The sequence below is a fragment of the Homo sapiens genome, chromosome 6, assembly GCF_000001405.40.
Source record: "Homo sapiens chromosome 6, GRCh38.p14 Primary Assembly".
NCBI classification, from domain to species: Eukaryota; Metazoa; Chordata; class Mammalia; order Primates; family Hominidae; genus Homo; species Homo sapiens.
The window spans coordinates 6,792,327-6,820,214 of NC_000006.12; the positions used below are offsets into that span (position 1 = coordinate 6,792,327).

Here is a 27,888-nt window from a genome sequence, read left to right on the forward strand (position 1 = left end):
ATTCACCTTTACCATCTCAACGCCACTCCTTGGGAGCATCCAAATCCCTCCCCTCCCAGATCAGTTACCCAGTGCCCAGACCCAAGTCCTTGTGCCAGTCTTATTCCACTTGCTCTCCCTTCTCGTCTCACGCTTTCCCGCTGTAGTCACTCTCGCCTGAGATCTGGATAGCTCCTCTGCACCAACCATCTGCCCACCCCCGGCACCTCAAACTCAACAACTCCCTCCCTCCCCAGCAACTCCTCCTGGGTTTCCTGTTTTCTGATTCTGACACACCTACTTTACCTGGGTCAAGACCTTGGAGTAACATTTGATGCTTTTTTTTTACCCGATTTAATTCCTTACCAAATTTGACTCACTTGTTTTCTGTTTCTCTCCCCTCTGTCCCTTTCATTTGCATCATGATCTTTGTGCTTGTCTCGAATTCAATTCTAGTCAAGCCTCTGGTTGCAAGAAAGAAATAACCAGTCAACCTAAGGGGGTTATGAAAAGGCAGAGGCACATCTCACTGACACACAATGGAAATACAAGGGGCCTCATAGGAAACAAGATTAGATCTGGGAAGGTGTTGAGGCAGCTGTGCTTCCAGTTGTTTTTTTTGCCTCCTCTGGGGCCATGTGGTTTCTTACCTGGATCTCTTTCTGCAGATTTGGCCTGTTCCCCTGCCTTTCTAGCTTGTTTATGTCCCCAGATGATTATCCCAACCCCTCATGACCTTCCCGTGCAACTGTTCTCCAGTCTAAATACAGCTTTGGTCACTTGCTCAGATTCGGAAAGGAGAGGTTCAGTGGACACTGGCCAGCCAATGGATTGCACTGGCCTCACCAGGAGCCCAGCTTTAATGCTTTAATACCAGGCAGAATCATGGTATTAACATCGATTCCTGGGTGTGGTCCTTCAGCAGCAGCTATTGGGAAGGTGCATTCCAGATGGGCTGTTTGGGGGTTCCCTGTTATAGTCTACTGCAGTGCTTCCTAGAAGCTGGGTGAAGGACTGGTGGCATGTCCAGAACGAAGTTCTTGCCTTTTTGTGATGAAATGAGAAAAACAAGCATGTAAGTATGTGAGCGTGTGCATGTGTGTGTTGGGAGGAGAAATGATATGTTAATATAAAGTCCCAGATGTCCTTTTTGGGAAATACTGCCTACACAGCAACAACATCCTTCCTGCTTAGGGAAGCTAGCATGTCCTTTTATTTACAAAGTGATAGTGGGACTAGGTGGTTGTTCTTATTGTTATTGTTGTCTATGCCCTTATTTGGCAAAAATAGAATATTGGGACACTTAGGTCAATCTCTTCAAGTTTTGAGGGGAAACTTGGCTGGTTCATGAAATCCAAATGTCTTAGAAACACTAGGCTATGTCCTGGCTCTTTTCATAGCTTCCTAAACGGTCTCTTGACCTTCCAGATCTCTTTTCCATCACATCACTGTCACACTAATCCCTCTAAAATGTTGCTGAATAAAGTATTTTCTTGTTTAAGTCTGCAAGGGCTTTGCAATGATTGTGAAATCGAATAGAAAGTCTTCAGCCTGTACAAACCAGCTCCAACCTAAGGTCCCAGCCCTCTCCCATACCTCTCCCCACGCCCACCATGTGCTTCAGACAAGCTCCTCCTTGGCCCTTCTGACCCTGCCCCTCCCACCGCTGGGCCCGCTTTCCAGCCTATGCAGGTCCAGTGATAATCCCTCCATGAAGTTCTCCAATACTCAGCTAAAGTGAATCTTTCCTAACTCTAAAGTCCTTCTACTAAAACATGCATACATTCTTAGACACATATTGCGTTCTGTGTCATTTGTGGTTTTTTGTGCCATTTCCTACTTACCCCACTCATCAGAAACCCTTGAGCTGCTACGTGTGTGGAGGAAGCGTGGTGAAGAGGAAGTCACAGAACATGGGATCCAAAGCTTGACTCTGTTCTGGTGAATGTCACTAGGAATGTCACTTGACTGGGATGTTCCTCCATTTGTTCCTCTTCTCACTGGAATATATATTCCATGAAGACAGGGATTTATTTTATTTTATTTTATTTTTGAGACAGAGTTTTGCTCTTGTTGCCCAGGATGGTGCACGGTGGTGCAATCTTGGCTCACCGCAACCTCCGCCTCCCAGGTTCAAGCGATCCTCCTGTCTCAGCCTCCCGAGTAGCTGCGACTACAGCAGTCTGCCACCATGCCTGGCTAATTTTTGTATTTTTAGTAGGGACAGGGTTTCACCATGTTGGTCAGGCTGGTCTTGAACTCCTGACCTCAGGTGATCCACCCATCTCGGCCTCCCAAAGTGCTGGGATTACAGGTGTGAGCTACCGCACCTGGCCTTTTTTTTTTTTTCCTAGGCAAAGAACTTTATTACTCTTTGTTTCAAACTTTATTCCCAGGCTTTTTCAGCTTAATTAGCTGCAAAGAATGAAATAGTGTATAAGCAAAAGATGAAAAAAGCTGCAGTGTCCAAAGAGCTTGGGCTTAAAAATATTACAGATCTAGATTTTATCAGATCCATTAGCAAAAATTTCTTAAAATGCAGTCATAATATAAGATAGCAGCTCCCAGCAAGTTCTTCAAGGTTTATCTTCTTCAGAAGTTGGCTCAATTCAGTTTGCCTCATTCTTGGAAGCCTCATCAAAATTCTCCACAAGATCTGGAACTTCATTATCATCATCCTCTCCAGTAGCAAGTGGCGCTTTTCCATCCACAGGTTATTTGGGCAGAGCTTCAGCCAGTCTCCTTAACTTAGTGGGACTGTCTGCACCAAGCTGGTTTAAGATGCCGGGTAGCATTTCTCTCAGCTGCTTTGCCTCAGTGTGGCCTGTAATGGTGAAGGTGTTTGCTGCCAAAGATGCCTGAACTTTAAGGTTGTGAAAGTGGATCACTGTTTCTTGGTTTGTAAACATATTCACCTCTTCAATACTAGAGGTATTGTTTAACCCTAACTTCTTTAAGGAGAACTGAAGATTTTATCATCTGCTGTGGCTGTCCCATGAACCACTTTCTTCTTTTTGCTGGCAGTTCCTTTCCCGCCAATGTGCACTTGTACCTGTAGTTTGGTGAGTTTTCCCTGGTTCATGATTATTTCTTTCATCTTGTCGGAGCAGAAAAGGGGCAGCACGGGGGTCTAGGGTGGGTGTTCAGGGGGTCTCAGGTGAACCAGCTGAGATTAGGCGCACACATGCAGAGATGCCCATTTGTTCATCTTTAAACTGGAGATAGTAATGCCAGCTCCTCAAAGTCATTGTGAGGTGACTCAATAACCCATGCAAAGTCCCTGGAAAGCAGTTGCTGATGAATAAATGGTGGTTTCCTCCCTTGCTTGCCTACAATGAAGACTTGCAAAATATTTGTCCAACTGAGAACATCTTGAATAAGTTAAAAGAGGAAAACAAATCATATTCAGATGTGAATGTGACTTGTAATTTACCTCCAGGGAAGATTCCAGGAGAAGAGTTCAAAATCACCTGAGTGACGCATCACACTGGAAAAAGTGCCCTGCTTCCCAGGTGACCTCAAAGGACAGTGCTCCCTTGGAAACATGAACCCAGGCAGGTTTTGCTTTTATTTTCAAAAAACGTCATTCCTCTGCATGGCGGCTGCACCTCATAAATGGGCCAGTTTGGCTTTTACCATCTCTCCATTCTCTGCTCAACCTTGGTAGACTCACTCGATGATCACCAAAATGGCTCAAAATCAGGCAAAAAGATTAGGAGACATAGAAATGTCTGGAGAGACCATCTGCCTCTGAATTTCCTGCTAAGTAAGCATGAACATCTGTATTGAAGAAGCCACTTTGTATTACTTGCTGCTAAAAACACCGTAACTGGGCGTGGTGGCTCACGCCTGTAATCGCAGCACTTTGGGAGGCCAAGGCGGGAGGATCATGAGGTCGGGAGATCGAGACCATCCTGGCTAACACGGTGAAACCCCGTCTCTACTAAAAGAAAAAAAAATACAAAAAAATTAGCTGGGTGTGTTGGCAGGCGCCTGTAGTCCCAGCTACTTGGGAGGCTGAGGCAGGAGAATGGCGTGAACCCGGGAGGTGGAGCTTGCAGTGAGCCGAGATCATGCCACTGCATTCTAGCCTGGGTGACAGAGTGAGACTCTGTCTCAAAAAACAAAACAAAACAAAACAAAAAAAAACAAAAAACACCGTAACTGATTTAAACAAAAGAAGCAATTATGCCAGGTTCTCTTGTAGTCAGAATTCAGGTTGAGACTACAAAATGTGTTATGGGGAAATGGGCTTAAGGGGTCATAGAAAGCACATTGATCCATGCCTAGGTGTGGAGCCCTTGCTAGGCACCAGGTGCTATTTTTTTTTTTTTTTTTTTTTTTTTGTGATAGAGTCTCACTCTATCACCCAGGCTGCAGTGCAATGGTGTGATCTTGGCTCACTGCAACCTCCGGCTCCTGGGTTCAAGCAATTCTCCCTCCTCAGCCTTCCGAGTAGCTGGGACTACAGCTGCCCACCACCACACCCGACTAATTTTTGTATTTTTAGTAGTGATGAGGTTTTGCCATGTTGGCCAGTCTGGTCTTGAACTCCTGACCTCAGCTAATTCACCTGCCTCGGCCTCCCAAAGTGCTGGGATTATAAGCGCGAGCCACCGTGCCCAACCCACCAGGTGCTACTCTAAACCTTTCATGCACTTGGTCCCTTGCAGCCTCCCACGAGCCACGTGTTCTTACTGCTCCCTCCACCAATGAGGAAACGAAAGCATCGAGAGGCTGACTAAATTACCCAAGGTTGCAGAGCGAGTGCGTGGAACAGCAGGATTTGCACCCAGGCAGTTGAGCTCCGGGGTTCACCTTCTTTATCACTACCCCATTGGGCACCTGGTAACAGATGGTTCCCCCCAGAGGCCATCATCTGGGGTCCCACCTGCCTGAAAGTGTCCACAGTCTTCACATTTGGTCTCATTTCCAGAGGGGGAAGAAATGAAGACAGCATGAGGTGCAAAGAATGATCTGTTCCATGCCTCAAGCCCATTGATATGGTCTGGGTCTGTGTCCCTGTCAAATCTCATGTAAAATTGTAATCCCCAGTGTTGGAAGTGGGGCCTGGCGGGAAGTATTTGGATCACGAGGGCAGATCATTCATGAATGGCTTAAAGCCATCCCCTTGGTGATGAGTGAGTTCTTTGAAGAGCTGGTTGTTTAAAAGTGCGTGGCACCTCCTCCCTCCCTCTCTGTTGCTTCCACTCTGGCCGTGTGATGTGCCCGTGTATGTGCCTGATCCTGCTTCACCTTCTGCCGTGAGTAAAACTTCCTGAGGCTTTGCCAGAAACCAAGCAGATGCTGGTGCCATGCTTCTTGTACACCCTGCAGAACTGTGAGCCAATTAAACCTCTTCTCTTTATAGATTACCCAGTCTCAGGTATGCCTTCATAGCAATGCAAGATTGGCCTAACATACCCATGCTTTCTCTCTAGCAGTGTTAACACCCTCCTCACAGTCTCCAGGTCACCCACTCTGTCCACCCCTTGCTGCCTCCCTGCGCCCCATCTCTGTGCTTTGAGCCCCTGGCCTTCCTGCTCTCCCTTTCATGCCCAGGCCAGCAGCTCCTCTTCCTATTAAGGACAAGTCCATGTTGCTTTTGCAGATGCTTGCTTCCAGTCAGGCTTCTTCTGAGGAAATGTATTCCACTTTCACATAGAGATGAGAGGAAAAATCAAAGTAAACAGACATAGAGAAAGCATGCAGTGTGCAAAGCCCCTTATCCCTACTCAATAAACAACTGCTAAAATCATGGTAACGATGCCTAACTTTAAAAAATTCAGTTCAGTTCTATACATTTCAGGCTTATGAACACTTGCAAATATTGCAGTTAAGATGTGTTAAACACCTCTTCTTTCATTAAAAAAAGAAAATCTCACAAATAAAATCCACAATAGTAATAGGTTTAGTGTACGCCCTTCTAAGCACAGTCAAGACAACCGCCTGTGTTCTTTTTCTACCTGACAAAATATAGCTGTCATGCTTTAGTCACAGAATTACAATGCTTTGCTTTCATGACAAAAAACACTGATTAGGTTTTTAACATGTGCCAGGTTCTGTGCTTGGGGGAAACCAAAATTGTGTGTCAAACAGTCCCTGGAAGCTGACACCATGTTCTGTAAGATGATGATAGAGTTCCAGAGCAGAACACCTCCTCACCCTGAAAGGCCTCACAATGCTCCATCAACGGTGATCTCTGCTGAGCAGAGGCACAAAGAGGCAACGTGACATTTGGTGACAGCAACAGACTAGGACTTGGGGTTTTGTCCCTAGGTGGCCCCTGCAGTTGCTGCTTTGCTTTTTAGGACATCTTTCTTGCTTGTCTCTGTGGGTAAATGCTGACTTATTCTGCAAAACCACACTCAAAAAATGCCTCCTCGATTCCCCAAGACCCAGAAACTTGCTATTTTGCACTGTTCACTGCAGCTCGTAGCTGCCACATTGAGTAATCATTCATTTGCAACTTTAAAAGGAAGAGAACTCACTCTATTCATTCTTGGAATCCTCATCTCCCCGCTCTGTCCCTCAGCACTCATAACACTGTGGCTGGCAAAGGAAGATGGTGGAAGCCAGATGAATAAAACATGAGTGGGTGGCAGAATGTACACCACTGGTGAAGGGGGCTCACTCCCTCAAGGATGTCACTTTGTTCACAGGTATCTCCAACTTTGGTCTCCTCCTCACCACTTCCCTCCCCATCCCAACCGTAAAAAGACATAAAGATGGCGTCCTAGTCCTTTTTCTATTGTTTATAACAGAATACTGGAGACTGGGTAATTTAGAAGAAATGAAATGTCTTTCTTACAGTTCTGGAGGCTGGGAAGTCCAGGGTCAAGGGGCTGCATTTGGGGAGAGCCTTCCTGCTGGTAGGGACACTGCAGAGTCTCATGACAGCACAGGGCATCTTGTGGGGAGAGAGCTCACTGGGCAGGCACAGGCCTCTCTTCCTGTCATAAAGCCAGCCACTCCCAAAACAACCCTTTAATTCATTAATCCATTAATCTATGAATGGATTAATCCACTCATGAGGGCAGAGAGCCCTCATGACACATTCACCTCTTTTTTTTTTTTTTTTTTTTGGAGACGGAGTCTTGCTCTGTCGCCCAGGCTGGAGTGCAGTGGTGCAATCTCGGCTCACTGCAAACCCCGCCTCCCGGGTTCAAGTGATTCTCCTGCCTCAGTCTCCCGAGTAGCTGGGACCACAGGCACATGCCACCACGCCCAGCTAATTTTTTGTATTTTTAGTAGAGACGGGGTTTCACCGTGTTAGTCAGGATGGTCTCGATCTCCTGACCTCATGATCCGCCCGCCTTGGCCTCCCAAAGTGCTGGGATTATAGGCGTGAGCCACCGCGCCCGGCCGACCCAATCACCTCTTGGGTCCCACCTCTCCATCCTGCCACACTGGGGCTTGAGTTTCCACAAGAGTTTGGGAGGGAGCAAACATTCAAACCATAAGCATGGAAAGAGTCTCGTCCGTGATACAACAGCCTTCCTTGAACATTCCTTCTCAGCCATCGAAAGCCTTTTGAAAACTGGCTGCTTGGCTTTCATGTGGCCAGAAAATTTTGTAAAAGCCAACTGTGGTTCTAAGAAAAGATTTTGCTGAGTGAAGTGAAACTCCTCTCATAGCTGCCTGCAGACTGAGGGCAACTTCCCCAGTGTGGCCTCTAGAGAGGAGGGGGAGCCCCAGCTGAGCCCGGGTGGTGAGGGGTGGGGAGTCGGGGGGACTGAGGGTCTTGCTCCACCTGTGAAGGAATGAGCATAAAGAAGGCCTGGCCCAGGAGCCCAAGGCTTAGAGACAGACAGCAGCCAGCGTCCTATCTCTGCAGCTGCTGTTCCCTCTGCTCTGAAGCTCTTACCCACAGATACCCAGCTCACCCTGAATGGAAAACACTAGCCAAATGCCACCTCCTCCAGGAAGTCTTCTGGGGTTCTTCTGGCCAGAATTAACCACCCTTTCCATTATCCTCCTTTGTCATGGCCCTATTCTACCCAGGAACATTGCTATATTTGTTGGCATGATGGTAAACCCTAGAGGTTGGTGACTGTATCTTAATCTTTTTGTTCCCTCCACCCTATCCACACTCATTCTCCCTCTCCTTTCTCTTTCTCTTTCTGTCTCTTCATTTCTCTCTCCATCTCCCTCACTGTATATCTCTCTGTCTCACTCACCCTCCATCTCTCCATCTCTCTCTGTTTCCCTCTGTGTCTCTCTCTCACTCCTCCCTCTGTCCCTCACATACCTTCACATTCTCTGTTTCTCTCTCTCTCTCTTTCACACACACACACACACACACACACACACACACACACACACACACTCAGCACAGTGCTGGTCCTGAGAACCTTTCAAAGGAGCCTGTTGAGTAGCTCTCGGAGAATCTCTCCACTTCCACAAAGAAGGGTGACTAATTCCTTCCAGTGCTTAATGGGGAGAAGTGAGTTTTCAAATCTATCTGAACCACAAAAACTGAGCTCAAGCCACACCAGTTCAGACCCCTTTGGTGGCCCAAGAAAATACTCACTCACTTTGGCACGGCTCCTGGATTTTCCGGTTCCCTTGCATTTTAGAAAGCAGAGTAGTTGCCCCCACTTCTGGGTGCCTTGCTTCGTGCCCATATCATCCGCTCACACTAAAGCTTCTGAGACTCTATGCAAAATAATGTTGAAGACCAGAGATGCCATGGAGAACCATGAATTTACAAGTGAGGAAACCAAGGACCTGAGGACAAGGTGCTGTACCAGTTTCACAGCCGGCTGGTGGCAGGACACAAGGTGCTGTACCACAGTTTCACAGCCAGCTGGTGGCAGGACTTGGGCCCAGGCCTCTGGCTCTGCCGAGTGTTCCCCTGTATGGTGGGTGGGAGGTCCCCTGACAGTGACTTTTGCTTGGTTTTCCTTTTTTCTTTTTTTTGAGGTGGAGTCTCACTCTGCCACCCAGGCTGGAGTGCAATGGCGCAATCTCGTCTCACTGCAACCTCCGCCTCCTGGGTTTAAGCGATTCTCCTGCCTCAGCCTCCTGAGTAGCTGGGGTTACAGGCATGTGCCACCATGCCTGGCTAATTTTTGTATTTTTAGTAGAGATGGGGTTTCACCATGTTGGCCAGGCTGATCTTGAACTCCTGACCTCAGCCGATCTGCCCACCTCAGCCTCCCAAAGTGCTGGGATTATAGGCATGAGCCGCTGTGCCCAGCCCGGTTTTCCATTTAAAAAGCAGAAATAAAGGTTTCACGTTTTATGGTACTGTCAATTCTTAAGATTCAACTAATAAGGAGGAGAAAAAGAAATTTCAACAGGGGAGGCACCAGATGCCTTCACAAACCTTGACCTTCCTTTAGGCTGGCCACAGGTGCTGCCTGACCACCCCTCACCAGCAGCCACGCCTGGTGCACTTAGTTACTGCAATGTGGAGCAGTTTCCTGATCTTGAGGGAGGCCATGGGGATGGGCGGCCATGGTGGGGTGGGATGCCCTGGCCTTGCTCTGCGACACAGCCCTGCTCCCTGCCTCCTTCCTGCACCTGTGGTGAGAGATAATAAACTGGACAAGGCCCCAGCGGTTGCAATTCCAGGCAGTGTGGCACCCTGGTGGAAATACATGGAGAAAAGCGGGGCCAAGCCCTCAAGCATGAGGGAAGAAGGGATCAGGGAGGGAACAAGAAAGAAGCATTACCACGTTGCTGCTGCCAGGAATCAGAACACTTGAGCCTCTTAAAACTAGTGAGTGGCAGGGCTGGAGAGGTTCCCCTGTGTGTGAATGAAAAACTAACCCAGGGATTACAACACGTGCCTTCCTGGCTCTCCTCTCTGGGCCTGGAATGGCTCCTGCCTCAGTTTACCCATCTGAAAACTACCTAATGAGACGCATCCTCGGCCCAGGGGTGGGAAAGGATGAGTGAGTGGAGGCAAGGGGGATGGCCCGGGTGGCCGGCTGCATTCTCTGCTGTCCACCCTCCTGCCCTCCTTCTGGCCACGTCACCTCTCCTCCCTCTCCTTGAATCAGATTGACCCAATAACAGCCTGATCATCCAACTTCCACCCCATAGGCATCTCCCAAGACACACTGGGTTGAGAATGACTGTGCTGCCACTCCTCACCGAAAATCTCTCCCTTCTATGAACACCTCCCTGCTGGGACCAGCCCTCCCTCTCAGGTCGCCAGTTGCCGCACCAGCCCTTGTTGCGTGCTGGGGACAACACCATCACTTAGCTCATCACAGTCTCTTCTTGCCCCCTCAGTGTCGTTCTTGGCTTCCACAAGGGTGCTGGGCTCCTGACATCAGCACCCAGCTCCTTGGGACACACCCCCCTGCCATCTGCTTGAATCAGGAGCCAACATAGGGAGGCAACCTGGAGTCCTCAGGGTCCCTATGAGCTGGGGACAGAGCGGTCATCATTACTTACACGGTCAAGATGTCCTCTTTGTTCTTGGTCATGAGCTTGTTCTTTGTTGGAGGGAAAAAAATTGAGGGATGTTATTCTTTAATAAAAGTTTAAAGAAAAAAGAGTGGAGGGAGTGGCGAGGAGCCAGGGAAGAGGATGTTGTAGAAATCGGGAGAGGGGAGATGAGGGAGCACCTGCTCGGAGACAGTCCTTTTCAGGCCATGCAGTGACACCTGGACCTCGAGGTGAGCCACAAGCACGGTGGGATGCTTCCCGTCCATGGCACCACCGCAGGGGCTCCCTACGGGATCTGAAGGGTGAGGAAGGTGAGGACGGCCACCAACCGAGACAGCGTGGGCCAAGCTGGGTTCTCTGACCCAGCCCTTTCACGTGCCTAGTGTGGCATCAGCAAACAAAAAGGAACTGTGCGCACTGCCCTTGTCCCCCTCCCCAAGCCCTGGAGAAGCCCTGCAGTCCTGCTCTGTCGGATGAGGCTTTGTCACAGAGGAAGCATTGCGTCCGTCATTGCTAATGATGAACAGGTGACAGGGTACTGCCAAGTGCTGAACCTCATGAGGGCACAAGCAAGCCACCCACCAGGAATTAAAGGGAGTCACAGGGTTTACTCAGAACAAGCCAGGTGCCTTTCAAGCAGGGATTGTGTAATCCTCACCATAACCTAATCAGGTCTATGTCAGAGCCTCATCTTGCAGATACAAACACTGAGGCCCAGAGAGGCTGTCATACATCACGGTTGCACAGCAGCTGGGGGAGCCGGGATTTGAACTCAAGACTCCAAAGCCCTTTCTCCTTGCCTTGCCCAAGATGCCCTCTTATGAGATCGGCAGGCAGCCTTGTTATCATTCAGCAGCTAAAGCTGTGGCCAGAGGAAGGTGGAAAGGTGAGGACACACTGCTTCTCCTCACAGTCCAGCGAGTCCCTGCCCGACTCCTGCCCTGCCTCAGGGGAGGGAAACACAAAAAGGCAGATCCTTTCCTGGTGCTGGACACACCCCGTGACGTGTCCCAGGGGTACATGGATGCCTCTGTCATGAGTGAGCCTTCGAGGCCGGGCGAGCACCAAGCGTCTTGCAGTGCTGAGACACACCTGGGGCCAGGCTCCTCCTTCAGGGAGGAAGAAAGATGTGGCAAGATGAGTAATGAGGCCGGGCAGGGAGGAACCTGGCTGGTTTCAGTTAACGCAGGTTTGGGGAAGCACCCAGCTAGCTTCAGTTCAGGACACCACTAGGCGAGGAGGGCACCTCTCTTCACGGTTCTGTTCCATCGTGATGTCTGTCCTAAGCAAATGCTGTCTATGATCCTTCTGCAATCTTAGTGCCCCAGAAGTGGCTAGGGATCCTTGATTTGGCCATAATGTCCTGCAGATTGGACCTTATTTCCATCTCCCCAGAAGCTTTTTGGAAACAAGAAAGGCCATTTCAGAGTACAGGTGCAAGAGGGCCACAGAAGAGCCTGAGGCTGATGCCAAGCTGATGGGGTGAATCTAGTCCACATGACCCTAGAAGGAATATGTCTGACTTCCTGCTCCAAGACTATGGGAGGGGAAGGAGGCAGGAGGTAGAAAAGGGGGAGGCAGTGTCTGCCTGGCTGGGTTTTAGGGCAAGGGGCAGGAGGAGGGTAGGGTACAGGCCAAGGCTAGCACGACATCAGCCCTGGCTGGACAGAGGTGCTGCTGCCGGCAAGAACCCACCCTCATCCTCATCCTCATCTGTTGCCCACTAAAAACTCCATGGTTTCCACAGAAACAAAACGAGTCCCATCTGCAGGTGGGGCAATCCTCTTGTCCCTCTTTCTGCCTCACCCTCGTTTCTCACTGCCTGTCTCCTCCCTCTCCCTTCTTCTTTTGCATCTCTGTCTTCCCCTGAACCTCTTCCACACCGCCATTCCCTTATCTCCACTCTCCTTCCTCCCCCTCCCATCCTGCTCATGCCCATTTGAAATGGGAGCACACACTGGGCACACTCTGCAGTGCCCCCTCAGGCGCTCCCAACCCTGGCAGCTGTGCCATAAGCTGCCAATTCGTCTCAATATTCTATTTTACCATTCTGGCAATTTTCAGCTATGCATGAGATCTCTCAGAATATTGCCTTTGCTTTACTTCTAGGTGTGGCATTAGGACTAAGTCTGGGCCAGTGAAAAGTCAGCAGGTATGCTGTGTGCAACTTTCTTTTTTATTTTAGAGATGCGAACTCAAACTCCTGACTCAAGCAATCCTTCCACCTCAGCCTCCCCAGAAGCAGAGACAACAGGCCGGTGCCACCATGCCCAGCATAGTGTCCAACTTTTTAGAAGTGACCACAGATAAAGGCAATGTGCCTCAGTCTTTCCTTTCCACCATCCTTGTTAGCAGGAATGTGGACATGATGGCCGGAGCTCATGCAGCCACTTTGGCATATGAAGTCTATGTCTCAGCCAGTGTATCTACTTCCCAGGATCTGCTCAAGTGTGGTTCCTCTGCTCAGTACCACATTAAACTTCTGAGAGGATCACCTGACATCACCACCTTCTTGTAAACCATGAAAGAGTTTTTATTTTTTTAAATGAGGTTCATTGAGTTTCATGCCATCTGGTGGCAGAGATTACTGTGCCATGACATTTCACCTGCCTGGCCAGGCTGGGCCCATGGTGGTGGATGTTCCTGACTTCCCATGTTGCTTGTAGGCACAACCCAACAGCACATTGCTTCATGCCTCGCGTCACATGCCTCCCACCACCTGCCTCAGGGCTTCCCTGTTACTGTGAAGAGCAAGAAACCCGGGGATCTACTCATTCAGGTAGACACACGGCCTTTCCAGACAAGGTCTGTTGGGCTGAGATGGGCAGGTGGAGAGTCCCCCTGACTCACACCCGCTCACTTACTGGCCCCAGGTCCTGTGTTCACAATGCAGATGCTCCTGCTGCTGTTTCAGGAGCTGCTTTTCCCAGCTAGGAGATGCCAGCTGGTGCCACCTGGAAGTGTGGAGTCCTGCTGCCCCGTGAAGCCAACTTTGACTAATGGGGGACATGGCCAGGCAAATTTTTCTCCCTTCTTCTCATATGTATTATTCCAAGCCCCAGTGGGCCTTTCTAGAGACACTCTGTGAAACTAAACAATTAGCTGCATTTGTTGAAAGCTGGGGCCGGCCTCGTAAAGCACCCCTTTGTATTCTACTCCTTCCTTCTCGGCCTCACCTCTTTCCCCCTTCCTCTTGCTTCCTGGAGTTGCATTCCTCAAGAAAGTATTTGTACATTAGCTTTGGCCTCAGTCTCTGGTTTTTAGAGAACCCAAACTAAGACAGGGAGACACATGGAGGATGGCAAAGAAGAGATGCGGAAGGAGCCGGGGTCCTAAGAATTGTGGCGTTGCCAAACCCCTCCTGGACTGGGGGCTTCTTGGCCTTTAACCTGGGAGAGAAACAAATGTCTCTCTCATATTTAAGCTACAGCTATTCAGGACTTTCTCTTACCTGTAACCTTTTCCTAATAAATGCAGCTGCACGAGCCGGGCTTGGTGGCACACGCCTTTAATCCCAGCACTTTGGGAGGCTGAGGCGGGCAGATCACCTGAGGTCAGTAGTTCAAGAACAGCCTGGCCAACATGGAGAAACCCCATCTCTACCAAAAACACAAAAATTAGCCAGTTGTCATGGCATGCACCCGTAATCTCAGCTACTGGAGAGGCTGAGGCAGAACCCAGGAGGTGGAGGTTGCGGTGAGCCGAGATTGCACCACTGCACTCCAGCCTGGGCAACAGAGCGAGACTCTGTCTCGAAAAAAAAAAAAAATGCAGTTGCACATGCAAATCACCTCTGGGTTGCAATTCCCTGGACAACACCAGCCCATCATTAAAATGCTTTATCTCCTTTCATTCCCATTTCACTTTCACTGGCATTGCCTTATTTTGATCCATGCAACATTCCTACAAGGCAGGTTGGACAGATGTAATTATTCCTTTCCATTCACCACCCCTTCCTACCAACTCCCTACTTAAAGAGTAAAGAAATGAAATCTCTTTGAGGTTATATGATTTCCCTAAGGGCAAGGGCTAATGAGAGAAAATCCCTGGTCTCCTAGGCTATTAGACCAGACTGCACCACCATTTCACCCTGACCCTTCACAGGCCAAGCAGTTTGGAAGTCACCAGCTTTTCAGTTCTCCTCCCAGGCACACAGTGGAATTGCCTTTTCTGCTGTCTTGAAGTTAGAAGTGGCCAAGGCAATGCACACGGGAGTGTTGCGCCTAGGCGGAAGCTCCAGAAAGCGGCGATGACTCACCCAGCATATCTTCCTCTATCCTGGGGACCATTCGAACTAAGGATGGTGCCTGCTCGGCCACTGGTTCCTGAAATGAGGCTGATGTGAAGAAGGGCATTGCCCCAGGCATAATGGACATATGATGAGAAAGAGAAGTAAACAGGGGCGGGGGATGTTTGCTTATGCACCATAACCCAGCCCCTCCTGCCATGACTATACATGCACTACATAGGTCCCGTTCTGGGATTGTAGCTCATTTTCATTTGTTTTTAAAGGGGACAAATCTAAGCCAGTTTTATTAAAATATCAAAGATCTTCTCAAATTCCGACAGCCCTGAGATCCTCAGGAAGGGCGTGCCTGTGTTGGTTGAAACATTCGCAGCAAGGATGTTGAAAAGCCTTCAAGATTAAAGCCAAGGGATGTGCTTTTGTTTCAGAGCTCACAGGCCTGTACTCAAAAGAGTGGCTTCCAAGTTTCTGTTATCAAATGGAACTTTTCCACAGCCCTGACACAGACTAGACATTCTTGCTAAGAAAAATTGGTTTTTGTTTTTAAAGGAAAGCTTTTCTCTAACATGTAAGTCATTTATCGTTTCATACGTAGGAAGAGACAAGTGTCCCAACAAAGGTGATTTGCCTACTTGTTCTCCCTCCAGCTCTAGGAAGAAACCCCTCCACTGAATTCCATCAGCTCCTAGGCGTTCTGCCCCTGGGTGCAGAGAGCTGGTAAACACTACATTGAGCAAATTGGGGAGAAATAAATCCATTCCTCCTTAAAATCCCTGAGCCTCTCTGGAAGCCACAGTTCTTGAGGGAATGGTGGGCCGATTCCCTTTACAGTGACTTTGGATGTATCTCAGAATGGAAAGAGAGAATTTGCCCCAACACAAGGCTCCCCCTTATTTGTGGAAACATGGCAAGATCACGGCTATGTTTCCTGCCCAAACCCAGGAGAATTAAACACTTCAGAAAGGACATGGAATTCTCACTGGAAGCTATGAGCTCTTCGCTTAGGCAAAGGAGACTCACGGATCTTTTGAGTTTGTAATCTTTGTGAACTCTTCAGGCACTGCAGTTCTATTTAAAGCTAATATATTGCCCTTGTCCAGACCTTGCAGGGGGTTCTTCTCCTCCTGCTCAGCCCCTGGGTGCAACCTTCCCATTCTCAGGGTCCCTCCTGCCACCCTTTATCTTTGCAGCCCTTCAAAGTTACTCCAAGTCCAACCCATCCCCTATGCAACTTCAAGCCACTTAGCTCCCTTTTGGACACGTAATTTTACTATTTCAAGCTAGTAATGGAATCCCTAAAACTTAATTATGTAATTAATCGTTCCAATGTGCTGCGTCTTTCTCCAGCTTCACTGTAAACTGCACAGAGCAGGCATCACACCACATTTTCTTTGATCGCCATCCTGCTCTTTCCACGGGGATTGTGCTGAGGGTGCAATAGTCACTCAACAAACACTCTGCTTCATTTCTCATGAGGGCCGAACCCAGGCTGTTTTCTCCTTTTAATGTTTTAAAATAGATTGTGAAAGTCAAAGTGCTGACAACTGCCACCACTGGGGCACAAATAAGCCTCCGTGTCCCACCTGGCCAGGTGACCAGCTAGACAAAGTCCACCATAAAGTCCATGGTCACTTTTTCTTTGTAACTAACTGGTAAGTGCTTCCTGGGGAGGGACTCTGAAACTTTTTTTTCTTTCTTTCTGTTGTGTGTGTGTGTTTGTTTTTCTTTTTTAAGAGACAGGGTCTTACTCTGACACCCAGACTGGAGTGCAGTGGCGTGATCATGGCTCACTGCAGCCTTGGACTCCCGGGCTCAAACCATCCTCCTGCCTCAGCTTCCCAAGTAGCTGAGACTACAGGTGAGCTCCACCATAGCTTGCAAGATATTTTCTAATCACTAGAGTCCAGTGTCTTTCTTTCATGTGCAGGTTGCATCTTCTACAGATTCCCTTGAAACTCTTCCAGCCCCGTTTGACCTGCTTTACTTTAACTAAATGTGTTTTGTTCTGCCTGCTGAATGATGGGAAGTGGGGCAGAATAGCTCAGGATTTATGGACACCTGGTTGCTGGTCCTGTCATAACCTCTCTGGAACCTTAGATCGCAGATCTGTAAAATGGATACTAAACAGGAGCCGAGTGAACTCTAAAGTCCTTCCAGCTTTGTGATTGCACAATTTAAAAAGCACAAATTGCGATTGCAGGATTTGGACCTCCTCCACCTCTGTCTGAAGGTCCCTGTGTCTGTATTATAATTGGCTATTTCAACAGTCATTCACTTTACTAATGGGGTAGGTAGTTTGGGGAAAGAGGTGTCTCTTGGAGTCCTCCAGGCACAGTGAAGGGGGAAGAAAGTAGGAGCTTTAGTTTTCTCTAATGAACAGCGACCACTTACCTCACAATGTTCACAAATGGGCGCCTGCCCCATCTCGTTGTGTCAGCTCTTTGGGGAAAGATTTTTATGCTTTTGGAAGTTCATGAGCACATAGAAATGATCATAATTTTCACTGCAAGAGAAGAAGTTTTCATTTAACTCCTCCTTCATCTGCTTGGTAAATTAAAACACACACTCAGAGAGAGACAAAGTAGATTAGTGGTTGCTTATGGCTGGTGGGGGGAGGGGCGAGGCAGTAGGAGAGGGGTAGCTAAAAGGGCTTCTGATATTCTACAGCTGACTGTGGTGATGGTTGCGCATATCTGTGAATGCATTAGAAATCATTGGCTTATAGACTTTATTTATTTATTTAAATATTTATTGAGACTGAGTCTCACTCTGTTGCCCAGGCTGGAGTGCAGTGGTGCCATCTGGGCTCACTGCAACTTCCGTTTCCCAAGTTCAAGTGATTCTCCTGCCTCAGCCTCCTGAGTAGCTAGAATTACAGGTGACTACCACCATGCCTGGCTAAGTTTTTTATTTTTATTAGAGACAGGGTTTCACCATGTTGGTTGGCTAGGCTGGTCTTGAACCCCTGACCTCAAGTGATCCACCCACATCAGCCTCCCAAAGTGCTGGGATTACAGGCATGAGCCACCGCACCCAGCCTGGACTTTAAATTGACCAATTGTGCGGTGCATAAATTACATCCCACACAAACACACACAACACATGTTGGCAAGGAAGCACCATAAGAGGACCCTGAGTCTCCCCGTGCTGATGGTAGGGACTAGAAAATAGACCATCCACACGTGGTCCTAGGTGAGGTCAGGAGAGGTTTAAGGTGGTCAGAGAGCAGGGAGAGCCCTGTGGCAGAAGAAGTGGCAGGTACAAGGACTGGAGGATGGGAGGGGCCTCATAGGGAAGGAAGGGCAGGGTCCTGCTTGGGCAGGTGCACCTCTCTTGGTTGATCTCAGGGTCTTAACGGTAGATCACCAACCAGGTCATCTCTTTCCAGGCTGAGGTGTGCAGAGATTCCTGATAAGGAGGGGACCTGGGGCCAGGCTGCCTGCTCCTAGCACAGGGTTCTTGCCTACCACCTCTCTCTCCCACCAGCACCAGAAGTGCCAGGGGTGGGGGCAGGTCGGGGGGGTGGGCAGCGGATCTCAAGGCTTCTGGGAAGTGAAAAGTATATCTTCCTCCAAAAATTTTAGATACATAAATAGAGCTTTACTGATTCCAAGAGATAGTATAGTGAGATTATTGCAACGAATTTAAAAAAAATCATGATTTGGATCTTAATTTGGCAAACTCCCAGCTGTGTGACATTGGGCAGGTAAGTTATGTCTAGACTTCACTTTCTTCATCTATAAAATGGGGACAGAGATTATGCCTTCTTCATCGAGTAGTTGTGGAGGTTCAATGAGAATATGAATTGGAAACACTTAGTAGAACACCTGGCCCCTAGTAAATACTCAACGAATGTCAGGTGGTGTTGGTCTTCATCTTTATTGTGTGAGAAGGATGATGAACTCACTGAACATATGAGGAAACTGAGAGGCCAGAGTGGAAGCCAGGACTGTCATGCAGGTCTCTGACGCGCTGTCAGTTTCTGTTCTGCAGGCTGTGAGCTGATTTGTACCTGGGAAAGCCAAAGTGTTCACATAGACTAAGTCAGAATAAGCTCCTCCAACTCGACTTGATCCTGGGTGCAGAAAATGCTGGAAGCCTGACACAATCACAGCCCAAAGGGAGCAAATGAAAAGAAATCCTCTGAATGAAATTTGGGGTCTCACTTCGGGCAGCACCCACCCTCTGCAAAAGGGAGATGTTTCCACAGCTGCTGATCCTGGATCCAGAGGCAGCACTCCCTCCACGAGGGACACTCGGGCATTGTAAACTCAAGCATCCCTTTGTTTTCCATTCTTCACTCAGACATTCCTGATGACTAACTAGGGATCAATATAAATCACGTCATTGTGATCTCGGGTCTTTTCCTGCTAAAGAAAAGTAGAGAGTATAAGGAAATGACGGTGGTTTGAAAACAGAAAGCAAAAGTACTCCCTACAAAAGTTATCTGGAGCTATTAGGAAAACAAGGAAGAGGCTCCTGGTGATTTGGAAGCCGGGCCAAGGTCTAGGATGCAATTGATGTCAATAGGTCCTTTGCAGGTAGAGGGACAGGTGAGGTCATAGTCTGACGTCTGTTCTTACAGGGCTCCTCCCTGGAAATGACTCGCTCTCTCTGTACTCATTTCCTCTCAAGGCTTTGTTCCAGCAAGGGTTTCTTTTGAAATAGGAGAATCCCAGGTGGCACAGGATGGGATGGGGTCTCAGTGGGAGCAGTTGCTGCAATTGCGAAAGAGGAGGAGGAGGAGGAGGAGGGGAAAGAGGCAATACTTCCAGCCTCCAGGGAAAATCTCTGTGCTTGCTGCCTTATCACAGTGACTGGGTAAGCCCAGGGATCCAGTAACGAAGGAAGGAGGTAGGGGGTGGCCAGGACAATAGTTCAGTTGTTGTCCAAGGCACGCCCTCATCACCTTCGTCATTTCTCTTTTTGAGGCAGAAATCCACCCTCAGATGCACACACAAAGCTGTCATTAACAGAAGCTTCACGTGCACCCCGGAAAGCAAAATTGGGCACTCGGCTTCAAAGGAAACGGCTTCTTCCTTCACAATACTTCATCACTAAATGGTTGTCTGGCATGTTTGTTTTTTCAAATGTCCACATTTTATTTGTCCAACTGATTGTCTCTTTATCAGCAGCAGCCAGGACCACAGCTGAACTGTTTGTGAGTTGGTAGTTTATAAAATCAATGCTAAGTCTTTGCTAGTGTTTCTCTAACACGCTCATTTGTATTTATTCGTCTCAGAAGTCAAAGAAAAAAACACAACATACAAAAGGCAGAGTGGTGCTTTTCTATGTCAATATGTGTTTGAGGACTTTTCTAGCTAATTGACATAAACTCGACAGCTAGACCAGATGACAAGCAAGAATATCCATCCCATAATGAGGCTTCCGGCACTGGCTTAATCAAGTAAATCCAGAAAACAAGGCTCAAAATTACTTGAGAAAGGTTTTAATTGTTTTTGCATCTTTTCTCTTTTTTCTTTCTCTTATTTTAGAAAAATTATTCTTAGAGGTAGAGTCTCAATACACTTCCCAGGCTGGTCTCAAACTCTTGGTCAAGCAATCTTCCTGCCTCAGCCTCCCAGGTAGCTGGGACTATAGACCTGAACCACTGTGCTGTTTTTGCATCTTAAAGGCAGAGCTCTGAGGGAGAGGTGGATCCCAAGCCTGTGGGTTCACCTGCTCTAAGAAATCAATAAGTCAAGGGAAACATCAAAGGGCATTACACATATGGGCTTTGACGCCAGGCCGACCAACTTCAATCCAGGTCTAAATGAGGGTTGAGCTTCTCTGAGCCTGTTTCTCATTCCATAAAATGGGAGTTGCAATTGTACCTACTGCATACAATTATTATACAGTAAGTATTTAAAACAGTGCTCAGCAAACATGAAAGAACTCGATGTTGAAGATAAATGTGTAGTCCACCTCCTCAGTGTGACAGATGCAGAAAGTAAAATTCACAGAATTTGTGCAAACCTCAGTTAGTTCAGTCAAGTCCAGAACCCAGACTCCTGACTCATAGTCCAGTGGATTTGAAATTTTTTTTAATTATTATTTTTTATTTTATTTATTTATTTATTTATTTATTTATTTATTTATTTATTTATGTTTTGAGACAGAGTCTCGCTCTGTCACCCAGGCTGGAGTGCAGTGGCACGATCTCGGCCCACTGCAAGCTCCGCCATTCTCTTGCCTCAGCCTCCCGAGTAGCTGAGACTACAGGCATGCGCCACCACGCCCAGCTAATTTGTTTTGTATTTTTAGTAGAGAGGGGGTTTCACCATGTTGGCCAGGATGGTCTTGATCTGACCTAGTGATCCACCCGCCTCGGCCTCCCAAAGTGCTGGGATTACAGGTGTGAGCCACTGCACCTGGCCACGCCCAGCTAATTTTTGTATTTTTAGTAGAGACGGGGTTTCACCATGTTGGTCAGGCTGGTCTTGAACTCCTGACCTCAGGTGATCTGCCTGCCTCGGCTTCCCAAAGTGCTGGGATCACAGGCGTGAGCCACTGCGCCCGGCCCCGAGTGTTCTTTCTTCTGAGCACACTCGCTTGGCCCTACCTACCACCGCCCCTTTGGGGAAGGAACAGTGGGAGGTGGGAGAAGGTTCAGGAGTAAAAGGAACTCCTCTATAATGAGAGAAGAAAAATGCCTTAGCCTTAGGGTCACTTGGGTTTGCGTAGACTATTTTGAAAGGATGAAACAATTTAAATATTAGTAGCATGCAGACCTCACTAGCTAGCACACAGGCCAAATGTGGGCTTACCCTCTTACTAAAGGACACTGATTTACTAAGATATAAAGAATTTTAAAAAGAGAAATGTGCATGCTTTTAGAAGGTAGTGAAACATTGCTTGTTGTACTCATCAGCTCCAAAAGCCCTGATCGGTGAGATGATTCACTCACCTACGTAAGAGGGGAGGAAAGAAATATCTAAGAAAATTTGTAATATTAAAAAAATATATGTATTTGGAGAGAATTGAGAAGAAAAATGTTCTACACATCTCCTGGCTTCCATGACAAGAAAAGAAGAAAGGTGACATTCAGTTACCTGCTGGCTCAGCAGAGGGTCTTGTTCCTCTCTCTGGTCCTTCCTTTCTTCCTTCATTCCTTCCTTCCTTCCTTCTTTTTTCTTCCTTCTTTCCATTGGTCATTTATGCATTCAACAAACACTGAGCACCTTCACTATCAGTTCCTGTCCCAGTGCCAGAGATACGATAGATAAGAAGATAGGAGAGACCCTTGCTCTAGTGGAGTCTTCATTCTTAAATTCTAGTCATATCTCATTGAGCGTTCACTACACGTTGATCACAGAGGAAAATAAAGTTATTTCATAATGCCTCCATTTTCCACTCCGAGAGTATTCCCAATTTGACAGGCATTTTCTTCATAAATACTCTCAAGTTCCCATTTTCCTCTGGAGAGACCAAGGTACAACAAAGTAAAATAGAAACAAATTGATATAACTCCTGTCAGAGAGGAAGTCAGTGGCAGAAATGATCATGAAAATAACAACGATAGCTGCAACCACAAACATGGTTTAAAAAAAAAAGAAGAAGAAAAGAAAGGACCTAAGTTCAATTCACAAATTGAGCTCAAGTCATTATTTAACAAAACAAATACTAAAGGGTCCTACCTGCCATCATCCTATCTCAAAACTATATCTTATCTGTAGCAAAATGTTGTCCAGTGTAAGAGTCATAAAGTTGTGTTGAGCCTCCACAGATAAAACCAGCACTCTAACTGTGGAAAACTGTTTTAAAATAACAAAATAGACCATGTTTGTTGGTTTTCCCGGGAGAGACCTCAGCTCAGCTGTAAAACTAAGCATGAAAATGGGATTCCTCCCATCCTCCATAGAGCCTGGATCATGAGAAATCTTGCCTCTCAACATGCCAACAGGTCAGAGGGCAGTCATGTTCTTTGCTGTTCATAGTACCACGTTGTAGAAGGCAAGCTGTCTAGGGAATAAAAGAAATTCAGAGCGATTCATCTGGAAATTGCTCTCCAGGGGCTATTATTTTCAAGGTTAGATGACCCCAGAAGAGCATTCTCTTTGCTGACGCAGCCCCAAGTGACCACCTGCATTTTTGTATTTTTTCGGAGTAGTTAGAGGAGGCAACGATCGTCAGCAGCCCCTGCAAACGCAGAGACGGAGCAGGATAGAAATGTTTCCCATTGCTGTGTACAGTCGGTCAGCTCTGCCACCTTCCACGCAATTCACTGCTTAGCTCTTACAGCCTCTGTGGAACAGAAAAATCATCTGAGCTGGGGGGGACTCAGAGGCCCAGAGGCCAGCATTCCTTGGTCAATGCCAACACTACCTTTGCATGTCTGCCATGCATTATTAAGGACTCAGAAAAGTGCTGCAGTGAAGAAACCGGTTGAATTGTTTAATTCATCATTTTCTTTTAGAGATAGGGTCTCATCTTGTCACTCAGGCTAGAGTGTAGTGGCATCACTCTACCTCACTGCAGCCTCTAATTCCTGAGCTCAAACAATCCTCCCACCTCAGCCTCCCGAGTAGCTAGGACTACAGGCATGCATCACCACACCCAGCTAATTCTTTCATTTTTTTTGTAGAGACATCGTCTTGCTACTAATATGTTTTCCAGGCTGGTCTTGGACTCCTGGGCTCAAGTAATCTTCCTTCCCCAGCCTCCCAAAGTGCTGGGATTAAAAGGCATGAGCAACTGCTCCTGGCCTAATTCACCATTTTCTAGACTTATTTGATCACAGAAATATTATTCCTTTAAAACTGGTTAACATCTAGTGGATTCTTTGAAATATGGTCTGGGAAAATACTGATTGCATACAAGTTTCTTACTCACACACACGTATGCACATGTACACACACACACACTTTATACCAAGATCTCAATAAAACATTCCTAGGTAACAAAAGCACACCATAAGTCCATAAGTGTTAATCGAGTGAATGACTAGATTGAGAAATTAATGAGAAAATGACTCAGCGAATTTACCAGAAGGCCTTACACATCCCACTGGAAGACTTGGCAGCAGTGAGCCAAGCCCTCTCCACAAACTCTCCCTCTCCCGTGTGGAATATTCAGGAAGGGATCCTGGGAAACGCAGGGCCCACAGTGCTGTGGTTGCCTCTGAGCCTGGCTAGCATAAAAGGGTGCACTCCAGGTGCTTGGACATGGGGCAGGCAGAGGAAGTTTCAGACTCTGGGGTCTCTGGTAGGTTCATGTCACCTTAGACTTAGGAATAGAGGGCTAAGCACGCCTGTCAAGTTGTCATCTGGTTGGATCCCATTCCCTATCAATAAGGGTGTCTGATGTTTATGTAGTATATGCATAAAAAAAGGTATGCTTCAGGTCCACAATCCCGTATCCAAAACCCTTGGGGCAGGTGTACTACAGATTTCAGAATTTTTCAGATTGTTCCAAAGATAATGTGGTACATATACCATATATTGTGTAATTCCATGCATGGGGGCACTGTCTCATATTCACATATTAACATTTTTGCAATGAAACATGGACATTCACAGCAAGTGAGATAAATAAAACTTACACATTGTTTCAAGCCAGTTCCAGTCAGATGATGCTGCCACAGTGGTGTCAAGTATACAAAACACTGTTCGTTTTCATAGCTCTCTGCATTTTGGGGGTTGTAGGTGAGAGAGTGTGGGTCCTTAATATACCTGTCATGGGAAGGATAGTTGCTACAAAGAGAAAAGGGTGATGGCAAGTCCCCACAATAAATCTAAGGACCTCTTATAAAGAGAAGGGGGCACTACCAGTGCCTCGCATGCTCTTATTTGTAAACAAAAGACTTCCCAATGCTCTATTTAGGGTCAATGCACTGTGGGCCTTGCTTTAATGTTATCTGCTTCAGTTTGGAATCCACTATGAAGGGAATCTATTTTTGCCCTTGAAGGACTCATGAGAACTTTAAGCTGCCTTAACCATAATGAGAAGTGGCTCAAGAAAGAGGGGGTTTCCAAGACAAAAGGATGAAGAACAAAGACCTAATGAGTCACTCATTGATGCATTTCTAAATTCACCAAGATGCCTACATTTTGGGTGAATTTCAGTTCAATCACATAGTTTTATTTTTACTTTTTATTTATTTTTTGAGACAGAGTCTCGCTCCGTCACCCAGACTGGAGTGCGGTGGCGCGATCTCGGCTTACTGCAAGCTCCGCCTCCTGCGTTCACACCATTCTCCTGCCTCAGCCTCCTGAGTAGCTGGGACTACAGGTGCCCGCCACCAGACCTGGCTAATTTTTTTTTTTTTTTCTTCAGTAGAGATGGGCTTTCACCGTGTTAGCCAGGATGGTCTCAATCTCCTGACCTCATGATCCGCCCACCTCGGCCTCCCAAAGTGCTGGGATTACAGGCGTGCGCCACCGCACCCGGCCTCAATCACATAGTTTTTAATGAGCGCAGTGACAACGACACAATGACTTGTTTCTCTCCCTGTGTGCACTTTAATGAACTCAAATATCATTCTTTTTTATTTCTGCCTTTATGGCCTTAGGATTTAACCTAGAAAGAAAAGTTAAATGCAGATGTCTTATCTCCTGTAGGCAATTTTCAAGGAGCCTGCAAGTTTCTAACAAAATTCTCACAACACAATCAATCATTATTTGCCTTAATAAAGTGTATATGTTCCACAACATGAAGTACTTAGCCACAATGCTAATGAAACAGTGATAAGTGGTCCAACTTCAGAAATGGTTGGTATACTATTGGGATATAATACTGGAGGATTCTGCCTATGAGACAGCTGAGCTTTATTCATTAGAGTTCAAGCAAGTTGAAACACCAAGATTGTATCTTCTCTGCATCAGGCCATAGGATCATTGACAAATAGATGTAGAGAGTTCACAAAATCAAAGTGCAAAAAGAATGTGGTTGATGGTTTTTCTTTTCTTTTCTTTTCTTTCTTTCTTTTTTTTTTTTTTTTTTTTTGAGATGAGTCTAGCTCTGTCGCCCAGGCTGGAGTGCAGTGGTGCAATGTCAGCTCACTGCAACCTCTGCCTCCTGGGTTCAAGCGATTCTCGTGCCTCAGCCTTCCAAGTAGCTGGGACTACAGGTGCCCACCACCACGCCCAGCTAATTTTTGGTTTGTTTGTTTGTTTGTTTGTTTGTTAGTAGAGATGGGGTTTCCCCATATTGGCCAGACTGGTCTCGAACTCCTGACCTTGTGATCCGCCCACCTTGGCCTCCCAAAGTGCTGAGATTAGAGGTGTGAGTCACTTCACCCGGCCATGGTTGATGATTTTACTTCAAGCCACACTGCATTAAACTTATCAGACCCATCATATTCACTTCTGTTTGCAAACATCTGCAGACGTAACTGTTCTTCAATGCCTGAATCATTCATTCCTGCGTTTAAAGCCCCTCACTGTCAGTTTGTGGCAACTCACCCCAAAGTCCCCAGATAATAGGCCAATTATATCTTGTCACTGGAGATCTAGTCTCACCAGGCCACCAAGGCTTAATAACCTCAAGAAGGGAATTTCCTAAACCTCATACCCAGCTGGGGATTTAGGACAATGAGTTTCTCTCCATTAATCTTTAATTCCTGAAAATGCTGAGGTTGCCGATAATGGTCGCGTGTGTTTCCCTCCAAATCATGAGCGGCAAGAAGCTGAAGCGCCATGGTTGCTACAGGAGGTAAAGTCTGCCTGTATCCAGCTCCCAGGTGGCATTTGGTCCTAGCAGCTGGGAGGGGACAACAAGGGCAATCCAAGGGCAGAACAAAGGAATGGGGAGAAGCCCCCAACAGCGAGAGTTTACCCTGCACCCACGGGGAGGGAAAACCAAAGCTGAACAACTCAGTGGCCAGAGGCCCTGTGCTTCACACCAAGCTCTCTGAGAAGCCAGAGACTCCTGCTGTCGGGGGGATGGTGACCCAGTGGGAATCTGCACAGGACATAGAGAGAGTGTGTTGGTGGGGGTGGGGGAAGAATCTCCCAAGAGGAGGCAGCCTCTCAGGGCACCATTCTGTCGGCAACTTCCATGAAGCCTCAGAACAGTGCCTGGCACCCAGTTAAGTGCTTAATAAATCAAAGTATTCTCCTGTCTCCTGGTCTGTCCTCTCTAGGCACAAGATTGTCCACTTTGTTCTCAGTTGGGTCTCTGTAGTTCAAACACATCTACTTCTTATGTTTGCATAGAAATCCTTAAGTCAGAACTCTGTAGTGAAATAACTAGTTAAAAAGTGATTGAAAAGGGCCAGGCATGGTGGCTCACACCTGTAATCCCAGCACTTTGGGAGGCCAAGGCCAGTGGATTACCTGAGGTTGGGAGTTCGAGACCAGCCTGACCAACATGGAGAAACCCCGTCTCTACTAAAAATACAAAATTAGCCGGGCTTGGTGGAACATGCCTATAATCCCAGCTACTCGGGGGGCTGAGGCAGGAGAATCGCTTAAACCTGGGAGGCAGAGGTTACGGTGAGCCGAGATCAAGCCATTGCACTCCAGCCTGGGCAACAAGGGCGGAACTCTGTCTCAAAAAAAAAAGTGATTGACAAAAGAAAAAGATTGAATTCCTATCTATCTAGCATTCTCAAAATAGCGAAATTATAGAGCTGGAGAACAAATTAGTCGTTATCAGGGGTTAGATATGGAGGAGGGAGTAAGGAGGTGGGAGATTTTTGCAATGATGGAACAGTTCTGTATCTTGATTATGGTGATGGTTACAAGACTCTACCACCAGTTCAGTGTGATAAGGCTGCACAGAACTGCCCCCCTGCCCACACACACACACACACACAAATGAGTGCATGCAAAGCCGGTGAAATCCAAGGAAACTCTGTAGAGTATACCAATGTCAATTTCCGGGTTTTAATATTGTATCTACTTCTATAAGATGTTACCTGGGGAAAACTGAATGAAGATGAAGGATACACAGGACTTCCTTGTACATTGTTCTGCAATTTCCTGTGAATCTATAATTCTCATAAAAAGGCTGAATCCATGTGAATGAATTACGTATGCAATTTGCTAAACAGTTAAGGTAAGCATAGATAGATATATAGAAAAACTGCGAATAATATGCACTGTTTGGCTCTGATGTTAACTTTTCACACATCCCTCACTAAACGATTGGGATAAACCAGAGCCATCACTTTGAAAAACTCCAGGGTCATCATGCATATTGCAGTCTCTATGAGGTGCACCTTCAGGAGCTGTGCCATATACAACCTGTACAATAATACACAGCAATCCTGCCTTTAGGCAACTGCTGCTAAATGATGCATCTCCATTGCTGGTTCT

At 47.1% G+C, this 27,888-nt stretch overlaps 1 long non-coding RNA gene and 1 pseudogene across 1 annotated transcript in view, besides 7 other annotated features; both read right to left on the reverse strand.

Moving 5' to 3' along the window:
- The window catches only part of LOC101928004 (uncharacterized), a 106,380-nt gene extending 97,535 nt beyond the window's left edge, over window positions 1–8,845 (reverse strand). Inside the window, exons 1-2 of the long non-coding RNA NR_187687.1 lie at window positions 8,517–8,845; window positions 1,824–1,979 (exon numbers count right to left, since the gene is read on the reverse strand). This is a non-coding gene — a long non-coding RNA (uncharacterized LOC101928004). The remainder of the gene's footprint in view (window positions 1–1,823; window positions 1,980–8,516) is intronic.
- BTF3P7 (basic transcription factor 3 pseudogene 7) lies at window positions 2,330–3,175 on the reverse strand (annotated as a pseudogene).
- Window positions 10,719–11,918: an enhancer, noted in NCBI's record as "MED14-independent group 3 enhancer chr6:6803278-6804477 (GRCh37/hg19 assembly coordinates)". NCBI's record gives its function as "activates an origin of replication core promoter dependent on BRD2, BRD4, P300/CBP and CDK7 cofactors, and independent of MED14, by STARR-seq in HCT116 cells {active_cell/tissue: HCT116}" and the evidence as "EXISTENCE:reporter gene assay evidence [ECO:0000049][PMID:35650434]".
- Window positions 11,228–11,407: an enhancer, noted in NCBI's record as "active region_23929". NCBI's record gives its function as "activates an Ori minimal core promoter by ATAC-STARR-seq in GM12878 lymphoblastoid cells {active_cell/tissue: GM12878}" and the evidence as "EXISTENCE:reporter gene assay evidence [ECO:0000049][PMID:35858748]".
- Window positions 11,658–11,717: an enhancer, noted in NCBI's record as "active region_23930". NCBI's record gives its function as "activates an Ori minimal core promoter by ATAC-STARR-seq in GM12878 lymphoblastoid cells {active_cell/tissue: GM12878}" and the evidence as "EXISTENCE:reporter gene assay evidence [ECO:0000049][PMID:35858748]".
- Window positions 11,728–11,867: an enhancer, noted in NCBI's record as "active region_23931". NCBI's record gives its function as "activates an Ori minimal core promoter by ATAC-STARR-seq in GM12878 lymphoblastoid cells {active_cell/tissue: GM12878}" and the evidence as "EXISTENCE:reporter gene assay evidence [ECO:0000049][PMID:35858748]".
- Window positions 18,552–19,751: an enhancer, noted in NCBI's record as "P300/CBP strongly-dependent group 1 enhancer chr6:6811111-6812310 (GRCh37/hg19 assembly coordinates)". NCBI's record gives its function as "activates an origin of replication core promoter dependent on BRD2, BRD4, P300/CBP, MED14 and CDK7 cofactors, with strong dependence on P300/CBP, by STARR-seq in HCT116 cells {active_cell/tissue: HCT116}" and the evidence as "EXISTENCE:reporter gene assay evidence [ECO:0000049][PMID:35650434]".
- Window positions 18,552–20,081: a biological region, named in NCBI's record as "P300/CBP strongly-dependent group 1 enhancer GRCh37_chr6:6811111-6812310".
- Window positions 19,140–20,081: an enhancer, noted in NCBI's record as "OCT4-NANOG-H3K27ac hESC enhancer chr6:6811699-6812640 (GRCh37/hg19 assembly coordinates)". NCBI's record gives its function as "activates a minimal SCP1, AML or CMV promoter by ChIP-STARR-seq in naive H9 embryonic stem cells {active_cell/tissue: H9 hESC(naive)}" and the evidence as "EXISTENCE:reporter gene assay evidence [ECO:0000049][PMID:30033119]".